Below are 19,229 nucleotides of genomic sequence, written 5' to 3' on the forward strand. Positions count from 1 at the left end.
CAGTTTTATGTGTGTTTAGGAATATCCTGGGGGTTTTGTTAAAATGCAGATTCTGACAAAGTTAATCTGGGATGGGTTGGAGATGCTGCATTACTAACAAACTCCCAGGTGATACAATGCTGCCGAACTCCACTTTCGGTATTAAGGCTATAAATGGAAGTTCAGGTAGCAAAAGAATGAAGAAGGAAATGAGGGTGAGTGGAGGGTCATAAACCCCAGTACTCTCCCTGCCTGTCATGCCCTGGGACCACTTCCATGGAGGGATCCTTTGGATTCTTCCACAACTAAATCTCTTTAAGTGGGGTCCATGACAGAATTCCCTCTTATAAGAATGTTAGTGGGGAGGTTCCAAGATGGCCGAATAGGAACAGCTCTAGTTTACAGCTCCCAGTGTGAGCGACGCAGAAGATGGGCGATTTCTGAATTTCCAGCTGAGCTTTGAAGAGAGTAGTGGTTCTCCCAGCCTGGAGTTTGAGATCTGAGAACAGACAGACTGCCTCCTCAAGTGGGTCCCTGACCCCCGAGTAGCCTAACTGGGAGGCATCTCCCAGTAGGGGAGGACTGACACCTCACACGGTCTAAAATTCTCTTTTTTTGTTGCGTCTCGGCCTGGCTTTGGTATCAGGATGATGCTGGCCTCATAAAATGAGTTAGGGAGTATTCCCTCTTTTTCTATTGATTGGAATAGTTTCAGAAGGAATGGTACCAGCTCCTCCTTGTACCTCTGGTAGAATTAGGCTGTGAATCCATCTGGTCCTGGACTTTTTTTGATTGGTAAGCTATTAATTATTGCCTCAATTTCAGAGCCTGTTATTGGTCTATTCAGAGATTCAACTTCTTCCTGGTTTAGTCTTGGAAGTCTTATGTGTCGAGGAATTTATCCATTTCTTCTAGATTTTCTAGTTTATTTGCGTAGAGGTGTTTATAGTATTCTTTGATGGTAGTTTGTATTTTTCTGGGATTGGTGGTGATATCCCCTTTGTCATTTTTTATTGCGTCTATTTGATTCTTCTCTCTTTTCTTCTTTATTAATCTTGCTAGCGGTCTATCAATTTTGTTGATCTTTTCAAAAAACCAGCTCCTGGATTCATTCATTGATTTTTTGAAGGGTTTTTTGTGTCTCTATTTCCTTCAGTTCTGCCCTGATTTTAGTTATTTCTTGCCTTCTGCTAGCTTTTGAATGTGTTTGCTCTTGCTTCTCTAGATCTTTTAATTGTGATGTTAGGGTGTCAATTTTAGATCTTTCCTGCTTTCTCTTGTGGGCATTTAGTGCTTTAAATTTCCCTCTACACACTGCTTTGAATGTGTCCCAGAGATTCTGGTATGTTGTGTCTTTGTTCTCGTTGGTTTCAAAGAACATCTTTATTTCTTCCTTCATTTCATTATGTACCCAGTAGTCATTCAGGAGCAGGTTATTCAGTTTCCATGTAGTTGAGCGGTTTTGAGTGAGTTTCTTAATCCTGAGTTCTAGTTTGATTGCACTGTGGTCTGAGAGACAGTTTATTAAAATTTCTGTTCTTTTACATTTGCTGAGGAATGCTTTACTTCCAACTATGTGGTCAGTTTTGGAATAGGTGTGGTGTGGTGCTGAGAAGAATGTATATTCTGTTGATTTGGGGTGGAGAGTTCTGTAGGTGTCTATTAGGTCTGCTTGGTGCAGAGTTGAGTTCAATTCCTGGATATCCTTGCTAATTTTCTGTCTCATTGATCTGTCTAACGTTGACAGTGGGGTGTTAAAGTCTCCCATTATTATTGTGTGGGAGTCTAAGTCTCTTTGTAGGTCATTCAGGACTTGCTTTATGAATCTGGGTGCTCCTGTATTGGGTGCATATATATTTAGGATAGTTAGCACTTCTTGTTGAATTGATCCCTTTACCATTATGTAATGGCCTTCTTTGTCTCTTTTGATCTTTGTTGGTTTAAGGTCTGTTTTATCAGAGACTAGGATTGCAACCCCTGCCTTTTTTTGTTTTCCATTTGCTTGGTAGATCTTCCGCCATCCCTTTATTTTGAGCCTATGTGTGTCTCTGCATGTGAGATGGGGCTCCTGAATACAGCACACAGATGGGTCTTGACTCTATCCAATTTGCCAGTCTGTGCCTTTTAATTGGAGCATTTAGCCCATTTACATTTAAGGTTAATATTGTTATGTTTGAATTTGATCCTGTCATTATGATATTAGCTGGTTATTTGGCTCGTTAGTTGATGCAGTTTCTTCCTAGCCTTGATGGTCTTTACAATTTGGCATGTTTTTGCAGTGGCTAGTACTGGTTGTTCCTTTCCATGTTTAGTGCTTCCTTCAGGAGCTCTTTTAGGGCAGGCCTGGTGGTGACAAAATCTCTCAGCATTTGCTTGTCTGTATTTTATTTCTCCTTCACTTATGAAGCTTAGTTTGGCTGTATATGAAATTCTGGGTTGAAAATTCTTTTCTTTAAGAATGTTGAATATTGGCCCCCACTCTCTTCTGGCCTGTAGAGTTTCTGCCGAGAGATCAGCTGTTAGTCCAATGGGCTTCCCTTTGTGGGTAACCCGACCTTTCTCTCTGGCTGCCCTTAACATTTGTTCCTTCATTTCAACTTTGGTGAATCTGACAATTATGTGTCTTGGTGTTGCTCTTCTCGAGGAGTATCTTTGTGGTGTTCTCTGTATTTCCTGAATTTGAATGTTGGCCTGCCTTGCTAAATTGCGGAAGTTCTCCTGGATAGTATCCTGCAGAGTGTTTTCCAACTTGATTCCATTCTCCCCATCACTTTCAGGTACACCAATCAGATGTAGATTTTGTCTTTTCACATAGTCCCATATTTCTTGGAGGCTTTGTTCATTTCTTTTTATTCTTTTTTCTCTAAACTTCTCTTCTCACTTCATTTCACTCATTTCGTCTTCCATCACTGATACCATTTCTTCCAGTTGATCACATCAGCTACTGAGGCTTATGCATTCATCACGTAGTTCTCATGTCATGGTTTTCAGCTCCATCAGGTCCTTTAAGGACTTCTCTGCATTGATTATTCTAGTTATCCATTCATCTAATTTTTTTTCAAGGTTTTTAACTTCTTTGCCATTGGTTCAAACTTCCTCCTTTAGCTCAGAGTAGTTTGATCTTCTGAAGCCTTCTTCTCTCAGCTTGTCAAAGTCATTCTCCATCCAGCTTTGTTCCATTGCTGGTGAGGAGCTGCATTCCTTTGGAGGAGGAGAGGTGCTCTGATTTTTAGAGTTTCCAGTTTTTCTGCTCTGTTTTTTCCCCATCTTTGTGGTTTTATCTACCTTTGGTCTTTGACGAAGGTGACGTACAGATGGGTTTTTGGTGTAGATGTCTTTTCTGTTTGTTAGTTTTCCTTCTAACAGTCAGGACCCTCAGCTGCAGGTCTGTTGGAGTTTGCTGGAGGTCCACTCCAGAACCTGTTTGCCTGGGTATCAGCAGCAGTAGCTGCAGAGCAGTGGATATTGGTGAACCGCAAATGTTGCTGCCTGATCGTTCCTCTGGAAGTTTTGTCTCAGAGGAGTACCCGGCCGTGTGAGGTGTGAGTCCACCCCTACTCGGGGGTGCCTCTCAGTTAGGCTACTTGGGGGTCAGGGACCCTCTTGAGGAGGCCGTCTGTCCGTTCTCAGATCTCAAGCTGCATACTGGGAGAACCACTACTCTCTTCAAAGCTGTCAGACAGGGACATTTAAGTCTGCAGAGGTTACTGCTGTCTTTTGTTTGTCTGTGCCTTGCCCCCAGAGGTGGAGCCTACAGAGGCAGGCAGGCCTCCTTGAGCTGTGGTGGGCTCCACCCAGTTTGAGCTTCCTGGCCGCTTTGTTTACCTCCTCAAGCCTTGGCAATGGAGGGCGCCCCTCCCCCAGCCTTGCTGCCACCTTGCAGTTTGATCTCAGACTGCTGTGCTAGCAATGAACAAGGCTCCATGGGTGTAGGACCCTCCGAGCCAGGTGCGGGATATAATCTCCTGGTATGCCGTTTGTTGAGCCTGTTGGAAAAGCGCAGTATTAGGGTGGGAGTGATCCAATTTTCCAGGTGCCATCTGTCACCCCTTTCTTTGACTAAGAAAGGGAATTCCCTGACCCCTTGCACTTCCCAGGTGAGGCAATGCCTTGCCCTGCTTCGGCTCATGCACAGTGAGCTGCACCCACTGTCCTGCACCCACTGTCCAGCACTCCTCAGTGAGATGAACCCGGTACCTCAGTTGGAAATGCAGAAATCACCCGTCTTCTGCATCACTCACGCTGGGAGCTGTAGACTGGAGCTGTTCCTATTTGGCCATCTTGGCTCCACCACTTGTTTCATATTTTCTTATTGATTTATAAGAGCTCTTTATATATGTATATTAATAGAATTATAATATATGCTATATACTATAATATATAAACTAGAGACATATGGCCTTCAAAGATGCAGATACTACTTCTTCTCTTTGGGCAGTGGTTCTGCAGAGTATTAGTGTCCTGTTGGTTACAGTGTCCCCCAAATACTATCGCTGCATAACAAAGCACTCCAAACTAAGTGGTGGGTTGAGAAAAAATGGAGTTTAAATGGGTACTATCACCAGGTGGATATTCAAATATCTCATGAATATTTAGAGCCTCATGAAAATTCGATGCATTACATGCCCCATGAATAGTGAGTTCCTCCTTGGTCCTTCCATCTATTCCAGTCCATGTTTTGCACACATATACTCTACTTCTTTCTTGTCTAATATGTCCCCCATGATACCTACATCTATGCTTAGTTTCATCTGTCCTTATTTATTTGTTTCTCTAATATTTTATTGTAGAATTGAATAATCTTTTTAAAAAAATCTCAAACATTAATTACTTTTTCCAAGGCAGTTTGCAAAACTTTTGAGATGCAACCTAGGAGGCACACTAGGTGCAACCAAAAGGCTGTTTTCTTACTGAGGTTTCTTTCCCAATCTTGACTACATCATGGTTTTGGGCCTCAGAGAGCATGGCAGGAAAAGCCAGCAACATACTTTCCTGTCAAGACTGGGTAAAGTCCACATGTTGGACTGTCAGGAGAGTTTGCACACTCTGGCAGCAAGATGGGGTCATTCTGGTGTGAGCCTCACTGGAAAGCATAATTGCTCAGATATTGTAGCACAGCTGTGAAGGATGCCAGATTCTTACTGAACACACCTGTACTCTGGAGGATGACGGAGAGGTGGATGGTGCACCTCTTAGTTATGTGCTAATTCTGTACAAAGCTGTAACTGCAATTGAGATCAAAATTGGAAACAAATCCTATCTTCCAACATTTGCAACATTCCCATATAATTAATGGACAAAAGTGAAAACTTTAAGTTGCCCTCATAAAATGAAAATAGTTGCTGGAGTAAACTTTATTCCCTCCGTTTAACGAGAATCATTAGGCTTTTATTTTACATGGAAAATGGGATCAAAGGCATTAAAGACCAATTATTTAAAATCAAAACAATGTTTTATTGGGTTTTCATGAATTAAAATAGGTCAAGAACTTTTCAAAGTTCAGAAACGAAGTAAATAAATTTAAGAAGAGAATGTAGCATGGAAGGGAAAAAAGTTAAAATACCAGAAGTTCTATACCTAAATAATAATCTTTATCCTCCTCCAACTCTTACGTTTGATAGAAAAATAGAGATGAATCATTTTCATTAGCTAAGCATATTCTAACGTTCTATTAGCTAAATGAAAATCTTACTATAGTCCCTGGTGGAATTATTTAAGCTAGTATTCTTTATGTGGCTCTGCATATAAGTATCTAACTTCAGAGATTTAATCAAGGTCCAAATCAAACAAAATTTGTTAATTTCATCTTTCAGTAAGACATTGTTCAACTAACATGCAGGTGTACTCTTTGGAAAGAAGCCAACCAGAAAATACTTGAAACTGAGTACAGATAAATTATCAGAATTTACAAAAGACCATAGGTTATAGTTTTAATTACTTAAAGAGCAATGTATTCGAATATCCAGGAGGGGTTTTAATCTTAGGCAAAATGTTTGAGTAGGTTCCAGTTTACTTTCTCCTTATTCTATAATTTAAATCATTTTGGGTTTTATTTCCTCCCCAAAGTACCATACTGCTTTTTGAGCCATGCCAATAAATACAAAATTCTTATTAGTTGAAATACGGGCAAAAAAGAAATATTCACTCAATGTCTAGGTATCCTTGATTCATATGTCTAAAGTACTGAGGATAAATGATACCCATGCCTCTTTGTTCTGCAAATAGAGTAGAAAATCTCCAAAGATTAGATTTTCTTGCAGAGTTTCCAATAATAATACTTGATTACACAAGGAATTGATGTAGTAATAGTTTCAGATACTAATAATGCTTAGTACTTAAGCATTTGTCATCTTCAAAGTGCTTTAACTGTTTAATCTTCATAAAACCTCTGTGGAGTTGAGAAAGTCAGCAAGCAGCACATTATTCTCACTGCATAATCTTGAACTCTAACCACAGACGTGTGTTTGTCTCCTTCTTGGAACCAGCTGGGTTGGATGAATTGTGAAACATTCTTCCTTCACCACGTTGTCTCACATAAATCATGAAGCTGGCAGAGAGATATTCTGTTTTTTAAATTGTTATCAGTATATTATATAATAAACATTAGCTCAATTATCTTAACTTTACAAAAATATCTGGTGAATTCCTTCTGTAACACAAATGAAACACAACTCTGAATGTTCTGCCTTCTAATTCTGGAACACTATATTTGGGATGTCCTTATTAGTTATTACAGAAAGTCCCTTTGCTTGAAAGATAGTCTAAAAATAAAAGGAACTTTGAAGACTTAAAATCATTTCAAGAGAGTAGAAGGATGGTTGTGAGAGGCTGGGAAAGGTAATGGCAGGGTGAGGAGGAGGTGGGGATGGTTAATGGGTACAAAAAAAAATAGTTGAAATGAATGAATAAGGCCTGGTATTTGATAGCACAACAGGGTGGCTTTGGTTGATAATAATTTTATTTTACGTTTTAAAATAACTGGGGGAGTATAACTGGATTGTTTGTGGCCCAGAGGATAAATGCTTGAGGAGATGGTATCCCATCTTCCATGATGTGATTACTATACATTGCATGACTTTATCAAAACATCTCATGTACCCCATAAATATATATACATGCTATGTACCCACAAAAATTAAAAAAAAAAACTAAACAAGAAATGAAAAAAAAAAAAGAAAAGAAAAGCATGTCACCCTCATACAGATTCAAGAGTTTGGAATTATATGAAAAGTACTTTTTTTTTTAGATTTAAGAGAGTAATTGAAAGTTATTAGTTGATTTTAAAAATCAATTTGTGAAAAGAATAATACAATGCAATCACTGCTCCTAAAGCCTGCTACTCTTGACTCTGATCTTAAAGCTCTAGTTGAGGTTTGGTTTAGATAGTTACAAGGAATAGTTACTATATCAGTCAGGATAGGATAAGTTTTGCTGTGATAACAAATTAATTATGATATCCAGGGGCTTAGCACAGCAAAGGTGTAGCCCTTATGCTACTGCCACATGATCCTTAGGTTGTCACTTTTCCAGCCAGAAACCTCTGTAACTGGTGCAGCCTTTGCCTGAGTTTTGCTCAGGCCCACTGGGTTCGTTCTGCCCACTTGGCCTGGCAGGCTGAGCTTGGCTAGCACTACCAGCCTGGATCCCATGCCTGCCATGGGCGAGCCAGGCACAGAGCGGCAAGAGGTGTGTGAGCAAGTGAGCATGGGGTTTGGCCACTGTGCACAGCCAAGCATGCCAGCTGTGTCAGGGTGGGCAGCTCCAGACACTGGTACAAGCGCCAGCTGCATGCAAAGCTGTGGCTGAACCAGGCCTACCACAAGTAGCTTCCACTGTGGGCACTGGGGAACATGGTGGCGCCCAGAAGCTTGGAGACACCAGGAATTGCAGAGCCCCAAAGAGGGTGTCACAGCCCTGGCTTTGGGAGCCCCTAAGTCTGGGGTTCCCAAAGGGCTGCAGCTCTTCTCTCCTCCTCATCATCCACAATGTGGTGAGCAGGGGGCATGTTTCAGCTCTGTTTGTGTTACAGCTCTTTCAGTCCCACCATTCAACAGTCCCCAAGTTCTTGTCCCACATCCAGGAAGAATGAAGTACGTAGACAACTGGAGGGTGAGCAAGGTGGAGAGCTTCATTGAGCAACAGACCAGCTCTCAGGAGACCCAAAGAGGATTGCTCCTTTCCGCAGCTGGTAGTCCTGATGTCTGTGAGTCTGGCTGAGTTCTGGATTTTAATAGGCGCAGAAGGGAGAAAGTGTGTGCTGATTGGTCCATGGGTGGCCATGGGTGGGCGTGGAAAAAGCACCATCTTATTGGCTGAACAGTCAGCCATGAAGTCCTTTCTTCATGCTCCAGACTTCGCCTGGAACTGGCAGCCCAACCCCCAGGCTTCAGGCCCTTCCTGGCTTGAAGGTGGGGTTTCAGTGGGGACCCAATCCTTTCCACCCGGGAACCTGTCTGCCTCCTGCCATCAATACGCCCTCCATGGTGCCCAGGCTGTTCCTGCGGAGGGGTGCCTACAGGCCCATGTGGAGCTGCCCTCAGCTCCTCCAACTCCCGCCTTTCTCCTGTGCTTGTCAGCGCCCAAAGTCTGGAGGGGGCTGAGGTGGCAGGGGTCTGGCATGTCAATGCAGCCCCGAGCATGTGCACACCTGGCCAGGTCTGGACAGCATCTGGGCACTGGAGTGGGCACTGGGAGCAGGGAGAGGTTTGGAGTGGGAGCAGGCACTGCTCCCTCTGAGCGTGCAGGGGCAGAGGGCACTTCCTGGGCCCCCAGAGCTCAGGGATGCCCAGAGCCCTGGCTGGGCGGCTGCAGCTGCGCCCAGGAGCTCAGGGCTCCTGCCCTGCCAACTCGATAGGGGGCGGGGCTCCTGCCTGTTCCCGTCCCACCGGTTTGCAAAGCATACAGCCCCAGCTCCACCTCCCTGGCTGTGGCCAGCGTCTTGGATGCAACGATTGCAATGCCTGGCCGTAATTATTTCTTTAATCTTGAAGAAAATGCAAATTAAAGGCTAGATATTCTCCAAAGACATACCTCATTGTTCTTAGCATCTTCATGTAATTTCTCTTCATTTTTAATATCTTGCTTGTATTTTTTATTCTTTTGCCACTTCTTCCTTCTGTTCTTATGTTTCTATGCCGTTCACATAGAAGTCTATTCTTCTTATTCCTAAGTCCGTTTTTCTCTTAAGAAATCAATTTCTATTCCTTTTTGGGATATCACAATGACATTCATCTATTTCCAGGATGGGACTAGGGTCTCTTCTCCAGCTTCCCCAGCCTTGTCCACTTCTCCTCTCACAACATCAGTAAGAGCTCCCAGGAGACCAAGAGCTTCTCTTAAAACACGGTGTCCTCTGGCCCTTGGGTTCTGCCTGGATCCTTCCTCTAGGAAAGATGAGCACAAACTGGGTTAGAAGGGCAAAGATCTGTGCACCAACAGGCTTGATTTCCTCTCTTCATTTCTGCAGACTTGGTGATTTCAATCCATCTTCTAAGTACAGACAATGGGAACACCCATCTCCTAAGATAACCAGGGAATGCAGCTGTCCCAGGAGCCATCCTGGAGGAGCATGTGAAAGAGAATTGCAGAATGAAGTAAAGCTGGAAGAACATATACTTTCAAACCAGGGCTCTCTGGGTTGGAATCCAGATTCTAAGAGACACTCATCACAGCCTCTGGAAATTTAGAGTTGAAAGTGGTCTTTAAATGCCTTCTGGAGATCCTTATGAAGTCCAGGGAATTTTGCCTATGGGCAGTGTCAAGGCCTTTATCCTGTCTGAGCTCCCAGTCCACCACTCCACTACCACATACCCCCAGCTCTCTGCCTGCTGTTATCTGAATGTTTATGTCCTCTCAGTATTCCTATGTTGAAACCTAGCTTCCAAGGCGATTGCTTTAGGAGGTGGGGACTTTGGGAGGTGATTAGGTCATATGCACAAAGCTCTCATGAATGGGATTGGTGCCCTTAGGAAAGAGACCTCAGAGAGCTTAGCTCACCCCCGCCATTTTCTGAGAACACAGCAAGAAGGCACCATCTATGAACCAAAAAATGAGTCCTCAACAGACGCTGAATCTGCCAGCACCTTGATCTTGGACTTCAGCTTCCAGAACTGTAAGAAATAAATTTTTGTTGTTTATAAGCTGCCCAGTTTACGGTATTTTATTATAGCATCTCGATGGGATGAAGACACTGCCTATCAGAGAACCGAAACTCATTCACAGTGTGAACACCATTTCTAATGGTCACTCAGAGTAAAATCCTTCAGAGGCCTTGTGTTTTAAGCAGGTGTAGGTGAGAATTTGATAAATGTATTTTCTTGAAGAAATGAATGTTTCCAACAGGGAATTATTCCGCAAAGAGACTTTCAACACAGCAGGCCTTGCTGGGGGAGTGAGGTGGGTTTGGAGTAGAGTGTCTTTGTTGTCTTGTACTTTCAGCTTCAGAACTCCAGCCACAAAGTGCATCAGTTCTGCCAGAAGCCCCAGGTATACCGCCATAATTCCAAAGAGAAATGCGGGGAGCAGGGTGGGGGCATTTAGTGTTCATTTTCCCAGGGGCTTATTCTTGCTGGTCAAACCCCGACCATGATGATGGGTTTTGCTCTTTGATTTCTTCCCCCTTTGCACCTCTCTTAGGCTAGTACAAATGCCTGTAGCCTGCAAATGATGGTGAGGTTCACCTTAAGCCAGGCCTGGCCCACTTCCCAAAACTAGCCCCTATTCCCTCTGTTGGTGCAGGGCCCTTATCCTTCCCTTTTCTCTTGTCCCTTGGGTTTTCTTGTCCCTCAGAGTCTTGCCTGAGGTCTGGGATTTGAGCAATATTAACACTGAGCAGCAGAGGTTAGGATCCCATGGCTGCAGGCCTGAGAAGCTATGAGAGGCTTCTCCAACCACCTGCCTGCCAGCCTTTCCAATCCTCTGCCGTCTGCATCCCAGAAGCATCTTCTCCACTGTGGGTGGCAAACCACACAGGGTGCCTGAAGGTAGTCAAGTGGGCCTGAGGAAGCCCTCAGACCTCAGCTGGTTTTAATCTTATAAAGCTGAAACTTAATATACGAGGCAGGCTAGATAAAAATGCTTTTATGCTGCATTTATCTATGTTCTGTGTTGGATTCCAAATCCCATGGGGTTAAATTCAACGACAATGATAATGGTGATGATAACAGTAATAATAGCAATCACAACAACCATGTGATAATAAAAGAGGAAAAGCAGAAATCAAAGGGAGAATCCTGACACTGGTCTTGCCCAGCCTGGTGTGTGTGTGTATTGTCTTTGTTGATTAAGCAGGAAGCCCAAGTTATGGGGCCCAGTGACTGAAAGCCTACTGGTCTCAGCAGCTCTGCTGGATGTGCTGCCAAGGCTGCTCCTGGGATTGTCCTCACACCTGTGTCTGGTTGCCCAGAGCTTAGCCTGGGAGTCCAGTCTGAATTTTGTGGACGACTCTAGCTAAGTCAACCTGGAGGCTCCTGGAGACACCGGCCTAATGGGTGGAGGAACATTTGTCTAAGTTTTCTCCGGAGGAGACTCTGGCAGCTGGAGTCAAGACAACTAATTCACAGCTGAGAGTGAGTGACCAAGAAAAGACAGAAAGATGGCTCACCAGAAAAAGCATTTCCTCATTGCCCTTTGCTACTTGATAAAATCAGTACAAAAAAATCAGGGCCTTTTTTATACTGATGGGTGATCCCCTTATCCAGCCCCACAGTGGTGGTTTCAGCCTTGTCCGCCCCACCAGCCCCCTTACCGCCACAGCCCACTAAGCTCAGAAGCCCAGCCTTCTTTCTCCCCTCTCCTCCACGCCTCAGTGCCTGCGTCTCTCCTGCTCCACATCCTCCCTGCTTCCACTCTGATTTTGGAAGATAATGCAAATACAGTTCCTTTCCAAGATCAGTCACTCTACTTTGCCCTTGACTTCATTTTCCCCATTTCCCTCTTTTGCACCACCAAGTCCTCTGTCATGTATGTTTAGCAACTCCCCCCACTTGGCCTATTAACTTGCTCAAGTTGCTCCCTCCCTAAAGCAAAATAGAAATGTATGACCAAATTGCTTCTATCTTCTTTCTTTCTAGCTCTCTTCTTTCCTTATGTCCCAGAGTCTCTCTCTGTCTCTCTTTTGACCACTTTCTAGTCTTTTTGTGTGTGTGTGTGTGGTTAAATGTATATAGCGTGAAATTTACCATTTTAACCATTTTTAGGTGTACATTTCAGCAGCATTAAGAAAATTCCATTGTTGTGCAGCCATCACCCTTGCCATTCACTCTCTGTGTTATTCACTGCAACCTGGCTGCCACCTCCACCACTTCACTAGAACTGCTCTTGCAGAGCTCATCAGCAGCCTCCCAATTTCTCAAGGATTCAGGTCTTGCTTAACTGACCTCTTTGTGGCATCTGACACTTGGTGCCACTGCTCCCTTGTGGAGAGACTGCCTTGTCACCCTTCACTCCTTTCATTCCCCCGCAACCACCTGGCTACATCCACTCTCCACTGTGGGATCCTTTTCCTTTGTCTTAGATATCACAGCTCCTTGGGAATCCATCTGCAGCTCCCTGTTCTTCAGTCCACCTGCCAATTATCCCCTGGTGATTTGGCCAGGCCTCTGTAGGAAAGGGTATAACAAGACACCCATGTCCTGAGAGTGAATGTCCGAGCTAGAGGCCTATTGCAGTTGAGAGGAGCTCCAGAAAACATTATGCAACCAACTTCCCCTCTAAGGAGCTTCTCAAGTATTTGTATCCAACAGCTACAGGTAACTGAAGTGTCTGTTGGTAGAGGACCTGAGCAAGTTGGAAGATTTGGTGACTGACGGCACAGATTAGAGATAAATTAATTTTGAAGTTCTTATGAAGCAAAGAAGGGATCCTCAACTAACTACGGGCAAAATAGATGGCCTCTCCCGTACGTGGGAAAATATATTGTTCTTCCATCTTTGCACCATCCTCAAAATCTTCACTCCTATAAGCTGGAAGAGCCTTGGTCTTCCAGCTGCCAGCCTTGTAATCTACTATGTTAGAAAACAAGGTGTGGGGTGCAGAGGAGACACCGTGTTCAGGAAAATTCAGTGTGAGAGTGAAGGCTTTCACCACCTGATATGATTTGGCTGTGTCCCCTCCCAAATTTCATCTTGAATTGTAATCCCCATGATATGGGTTGGCTGTGTCCCCATCCAAGTCTCATCTTGAATTCCCACATGTTGTGGGAGGGACCCAGTGGGAGGTTGAGTCATGGGGGCAGGTCTTTCCTATGCTGTTCTTGTGACAATGAATAAGTCTCATGAGATCTTACGGCTTTATAAGGCAGAGTTACCCTGCATAAACTCTCTCTCTGCCTGCTGCCATCCATGTAAGACGTGACTTGCTCCTTCTTGCCTTCAACGTGATTGTGAGGCCTCCCCAGCCACTTGGAACTGTAAGCCCATTAAACCTCTTTCTTTTGTAAATTGCCCAGTCTCGGGTATGTCTTTACCTCAGCATGTGAAAACAGACTAATATACCCCATAATCCCCACGTGTCATGGGAAGGACCTGGTGGGAGATAATTAAATGATGGGGGCAGTTTTCCCAAGCTGGTCTCGTGATAATGAGTTCTCATGAGATCTAATGGTTTTATAGGCATCTGGCATTTCCTTTGCTTGTGCTCATTCTCCCTCCTGTTGCCCTGTGAAGAGGTGCCTTCTGCCATGATTGTAATTTTCCTGAGGCCTCCCTAGCCTTGCAGAACTATGAGTCCATTAAACCTCTTTTCTTTATAACTTACCCATTCTCAGTATTTCTTCACAGCAGCATGAGAATGGACTAATATACCACCCTAGAGGGGAAAGAAAAGAGGCCTAAGGACAGGCATGGGCAAGTATAGGTGCTGGTGAAAGGCCCCTAGGGACCCACTTGCTTCTTTTCTAAATTGAACAATAAGTGAGATTAACACAGCCATATGGTAACTGAGAATACACAGGCTGTGTATCACACTGGGTGCTCAGCGATCTTTCTTGAATGAGATGGGGCTGGGGAATGAGATGGACTCCCCTGGGGTCGACTGACTCAGGGTCTGGTACTTACAGAACAAGCAACAGCCACCCAATGCCAGAGCATTGTAGCTACAAGCAGCCAACCCTGGTGGTAACTGTCAGCCTCTTAGGGAAACTTGAGGGTTTAATATAGTGAATTATAAACTGGTGTATGGTCAGGTTCCACAAAGAATAGGAAAATCAAAACACTGAAAATGGTTAATGATCCTCACAAGAGAACACCCTTTAAATTTTCTCTCTCAACAATTCCTACCCATTTTTGAAGACACGACTTAAATGCTTTGACCTCTGTGGGGTCCTCCCATCCCTGGCAGACTGAATTTCACAGCCCCTCCTCTGCGCTCCCTGTGTCTGCCCTTTGGTCAAATAATATTTCTGTTTCATCAACTGGACTGCATGCTCCCTGAGGGCAGCACACCTATTTCTGATGTTTATCATCATGCCTGGCATACAGAAAGCCCTTAGGAAATTTTGGATAAATTAATCCACGAGTGATGGATGAATGAATGAATATATGTATGAGTAAATTAAATTTGAAGTAACTGGTTCTCAGAGCCAGATTGGGAAGTCACTTTCTAATAATGGAAACACATTGCTGTGTGTGCGTGTATGTGTGTGTGTGTGTGTGTGTGTGTGTGTGTGTGTGTGTGTGTGTGAAGCCTTAGAGGCTTAGGAGCATCAGACGGGTGCCAACCAAGAGACATATAGGGGATTGTGTAGTTGAGGCCTTCCAGAATGAGCACATGTTATTTCATCAGATGTTCTCTGTGAAATACTAAGATAAAATATTGGGCAATCCACGGTGAGAGTCTTTCCAATGTATGGCTCAGAAACACCTAACAATTGAGCTGGACGGGATGACTTGTGCTTATTTCTTCCCCAAATAGACTGATGGCCTTAAGGAGAGCATCTCTGGTAAAAGATCCTTATAACCGGCTGAACACTACAAAACATTGAGAAGTGAAGTATAAGTCTTTGTCAATGACTGTTGCCAATATAAGTTCATTTGTCCTGGTGAAGACCATTACCCTGTCTGAGGCTGGGCCCAGGATTGCCCCTGTAATATACCTTTGCATAGTACCAGAGGGTCAGAGTGTTGGCTTATGGATTGAACAAACGCTAGGCCTTTCCATTATTAAACCAGTTGTTTTTACACTTAAAAAAATAAAACCCTTTCTCATAACCCTTTCAGTGACAGGGAAGCTGGACCCTTTTCTATATAAAAGAAGGAGGCCCCAGCAGAGAAGAGAAGGCATTCATGTTCTGCGTGTGTTGCGGAAGAATGAGAAACAGATTGGTGGAGAAAAAGGCAAAGTCTCCACTGAAGTGAATTCCTATCATCCTGACTCTGAGGGTTGAAGGTTTGTCCCAGAGCAGTAGAAAGAAATAGATTCTGGATCCCTCAAGCCTGGTGGGCTGCTTAGCACCCTGAGTTGGCAGATCTAGGGCTGGGACATCATCAACACTTTTGTATTATTTTATTAGGTTGCTGACAAACACATGGAAACAATTCACAGTTGGGCACTGATTACATTTTCCTTCAAAGGCATGCCAGGCCCTGTGTCTCCTATGAAAAATTATCTTAATTCTTCATTGACGTTTAACCCACCCTCATAGTTTCCAAAATTTCTTAGTCACGCTTTTCAGGTGTTTTTTTTTTTCTCCAACTTTTATTTCAAATTTATGGCAGTACATGTGCAGATTTGTTACATGGGCATATTGTGTGACATTGAGGTTTGGAGTATGGATCCTGTCACCCAGGTAATAAGCATAGCACCCAATAAGTAGTTTTTTAACTCAGCCCCTCTCCGCTATCCTCAAGTAGTCCACGATGTGTATTGTTCTCCTATTTATGTACATGTGTGCTCAATGCTTAGCTCCCACTTATAAGTGAGAACATGTAATTTTGGTTTTCTGTTCTTGCATTAGTTTGCTTAGGATTATGGCCTCCAGCTTCAACCATGTTGCTGCAAAGGACATTTCATTCTTTTTTTATGGCTGTGTAGTATTCCATGGTGTATATGTATCACATTTTCTTTATCTACCCTGCCATTGATGGGCACCTGGGTTGACTCACATGGAACAACAAAAAAAGCTCAAATAGCCAAAGTAATTCTAAGCAAGAAAAACAAAGCCAGAGACATCACGTTAGTCAACTTCAAACTATAGTGTGTAGCCACATAACCAAAACAGCATGATACTCTTACAAAAACAGATACACAGACCAATGGAACAGATAGAAAACTCAGAAATAAAGCTGCACACCTACAACTATTTCATCTTTGACAAGATGGACAAAAGCAATGGAAAAAGGACTCCCTATTCAGTAAATGGTGCTGAGATAATTGGCTAGCCATATGCAGAAAATTGAAGCTGGATCCCTATCTTTCACAATATACAAAAATTAGCTCAAAATGCTTTAACGATTTAAATGTAAGAACACAAACTAAAAATCCTAGAAGAAAAACTAGGAAGTACTCTTCTTTACATCAGCCTTGGCAAATAATTTATTGCTAAGTCCTCAAAAGCAACCGCCACAAAAACAAAAATTGACAAGTTGGACCTAATTAAAGAGCTTCTGCACAGCAAAAGAAACCATCAACAGAGTAAACAGACAACATACAGGATGGGAGAAAATATTTGAAAACTTGTCCTAGGACAAGTTAAAACCAGTTGTTTCTGTTTTAAAAACTGTTGGAACATGTAGTCCAAGCTATCAACATCTTGCAACAGAGCTATGGCAATAACCTTAAGTGGTCTTCCTGTTTTTACTCTCTGTCTCTCTCTCCTGGTGTCTATTTGCCACACATAGCCAGAGTGATTCTGTTAAAACCTAAGATAGGTCTTGTTAACTCTGCACAAAATCCTCTAATGTATTCATTCAACCAACATTTGTTGACTATTTTGTGCTAGGCATTATTCCAAGTGCTGTTTTAATGGGGGAAGGCAGACAATAAAGAAAAGAAGTACTAAACTATATAGGATATATAAATACATACAGTATATTATATATGGCAAGGGGAGGACACATTTAAAAGTGAAATTAGAGCAGGTAGAAAGGAAGCCAGATAGGTATCTAAGGATGATGATTCTAGAAGAGGAAACAGCAAGTGAAAAGGCCATAAAGTAGAGTATGACTTTTTTTTTGAGATAGAATTCACATGTCATAAAGTCTACAAATTAGTGGTTTCTAGAATATTCACGAAGTCACCACTACCTAATTTCAGGACGTTTTCTTCATTCCAAAAAAACCCTGTATCCACATCATTCATACTAGTCAAAAAGCAGAAACAATCCACGTGTCCATCAACTAATGAATAGATAAATAAAACGTGGTATGTCCATACAGTGGAATATTATTTGGCAATAAGAAGAAAGGAAGTGGCCGGGCGCGGTGGCTCACGCCTGTAATCCCAGCACTTTGGGAGGCCGAGGCGGGCGGATCACGAGGTCAGGAGATCGAGACCACGGTGAAACCCCGTCTCTACTAAAAATACAAAAAATTAGCCGGGCGCAGTGGCGGGTGCCTGTAGTCCCAGCTACTCGGGAGGCTGAGGCAGGAGAATGGTGTGAACCCGGAAGGCGGAGCTTGCAGTGAGCGGAGATCGCGCCACTGCACTCCCGCCTGGGCGACAGAACGAGACTCCGTCTCAAAAAAAAAAAAAAAAAGAAGAAAGGAAGTACTGATACCCGCTACAACACGGAAAAACATTGAAGATATTACACTGAGTTAAAGAAGCCAGTCAGAAAGGACCACATACTGTATGATTTTATTTATATAAAATGTCCAGAAGAGGCAAATCCATAAAAACAGAACATAGATTAGTGGTTACCTATGACTATAACGGAAGGGGAATTGGGCGGTGATGACTAAGGGGTGTAGTGTTTCTTTTGGGAATATTAAAATGTTCTACAATTGATTGTAGTGATGGGTGCACAACTCTGAAATATATACTAAAAACCATTGAATTTTACATTTTAGGTGAATTGTATAAAATGTGAATGATTATATCTTTTTGTTTTGTTTTGTTTTGTTTTAAGACAGAGCGTCATTCAGTCACTCAGGCTGGCATGCAGTGGCTAGATCTTGGCTCACTGCAACCTCTGCCTCCCGAGTTCAAGAGATTCTCATGCCTCAGCCTCCCGAGTAGCTGGAATTACAGGCATGCGCTACCACACCAAGCTAATTTTTGTAATTTTAGTAGAGACGTGGTTTCACCATGTTGGCCAGGCTGGTGTGGACCTCCTGACCTCAAAGGATCTACCCGCCACAGCCTCCCGAAGTGCTGGGGTTACAGGTGTCAGCCACTGTGCCAGGCCTTATTATTGATTATTATCTCAATAAAGATATAATCGTTATTGATTATCTCAATAAAGATATTTTTTAAATATTTTAAAGAAGTTTTTAATAAAAGAAACTCCATGCCATTATCAGTCACTCTCCATTCTCTCACCTTCTCCCAGTGCCTGGCAACCACTAATGTACTTTCAAAAGCAAATATTTTAATTTTGATAAAGTCCAATTTATTTATATTTTCTTTGTGCATTAGGTATCATATCTAAGAAACCATTGACTAATCCAAGGTCATGAAGATTTATACCTATATTTCCTTTGAAGAGTTTTAGAGTTTTTACTCTTAAATTTAGGTCTTTAGTACATTTGGGGCTAATTTTTGTATATTGTGTGAAGCAGGGATATGAATTCATTCTTTTACATGTGGATATCCACTTGACCAAATACCATTTGTTGAAAAGATTTTTCTTTCCCGACTTAATTGTCATAGCATTCTTGTCTTAAATTAATTACTGGTAGAATATATGAGTTTATTTCTGGATTCTTCATTCTATTTGATTTTTCTGTATATATATCCTAATGCCAATTCTACACAGCCTCGATTACTATAGCTTGGTAGTAGGTTTTGATACTGTGAGTTGTGAGTCCTCTAACTTTGTTCTTATATTCCCAAGATTGTGCTGTTTATTTTGAGTCCCTTGCATTTCCATATGAATTTTGGAATCTGCTTGTCAATTTCTGCAAAAAATTCAGCTGGAGTTTTAATAGAGATTGCTTTGCATCTGTAGATCAATTTGGGGAGCACAGCTGCCTTAACAATATCAAATCTTCCTTCTAGGAACACAGGATATCTTCTCAATTATTTAGGTCTTTAATTTCTTTTAATGATGTTTTCAGTGTACAAATCCTGCACATCTTTGTTATTTTATTTAT

This window comes from Homo sapiens, chromosome 2 (assembly GCF_000001405.40).
Source record: "Homo sapiens chromosome 2, GRCh38.p14 Primary Assembly".
NCBI lineage: Eukaryota > Metazoa > Chordata > Mammalia > Primates > Hominidae > Homo > Homo sapiens.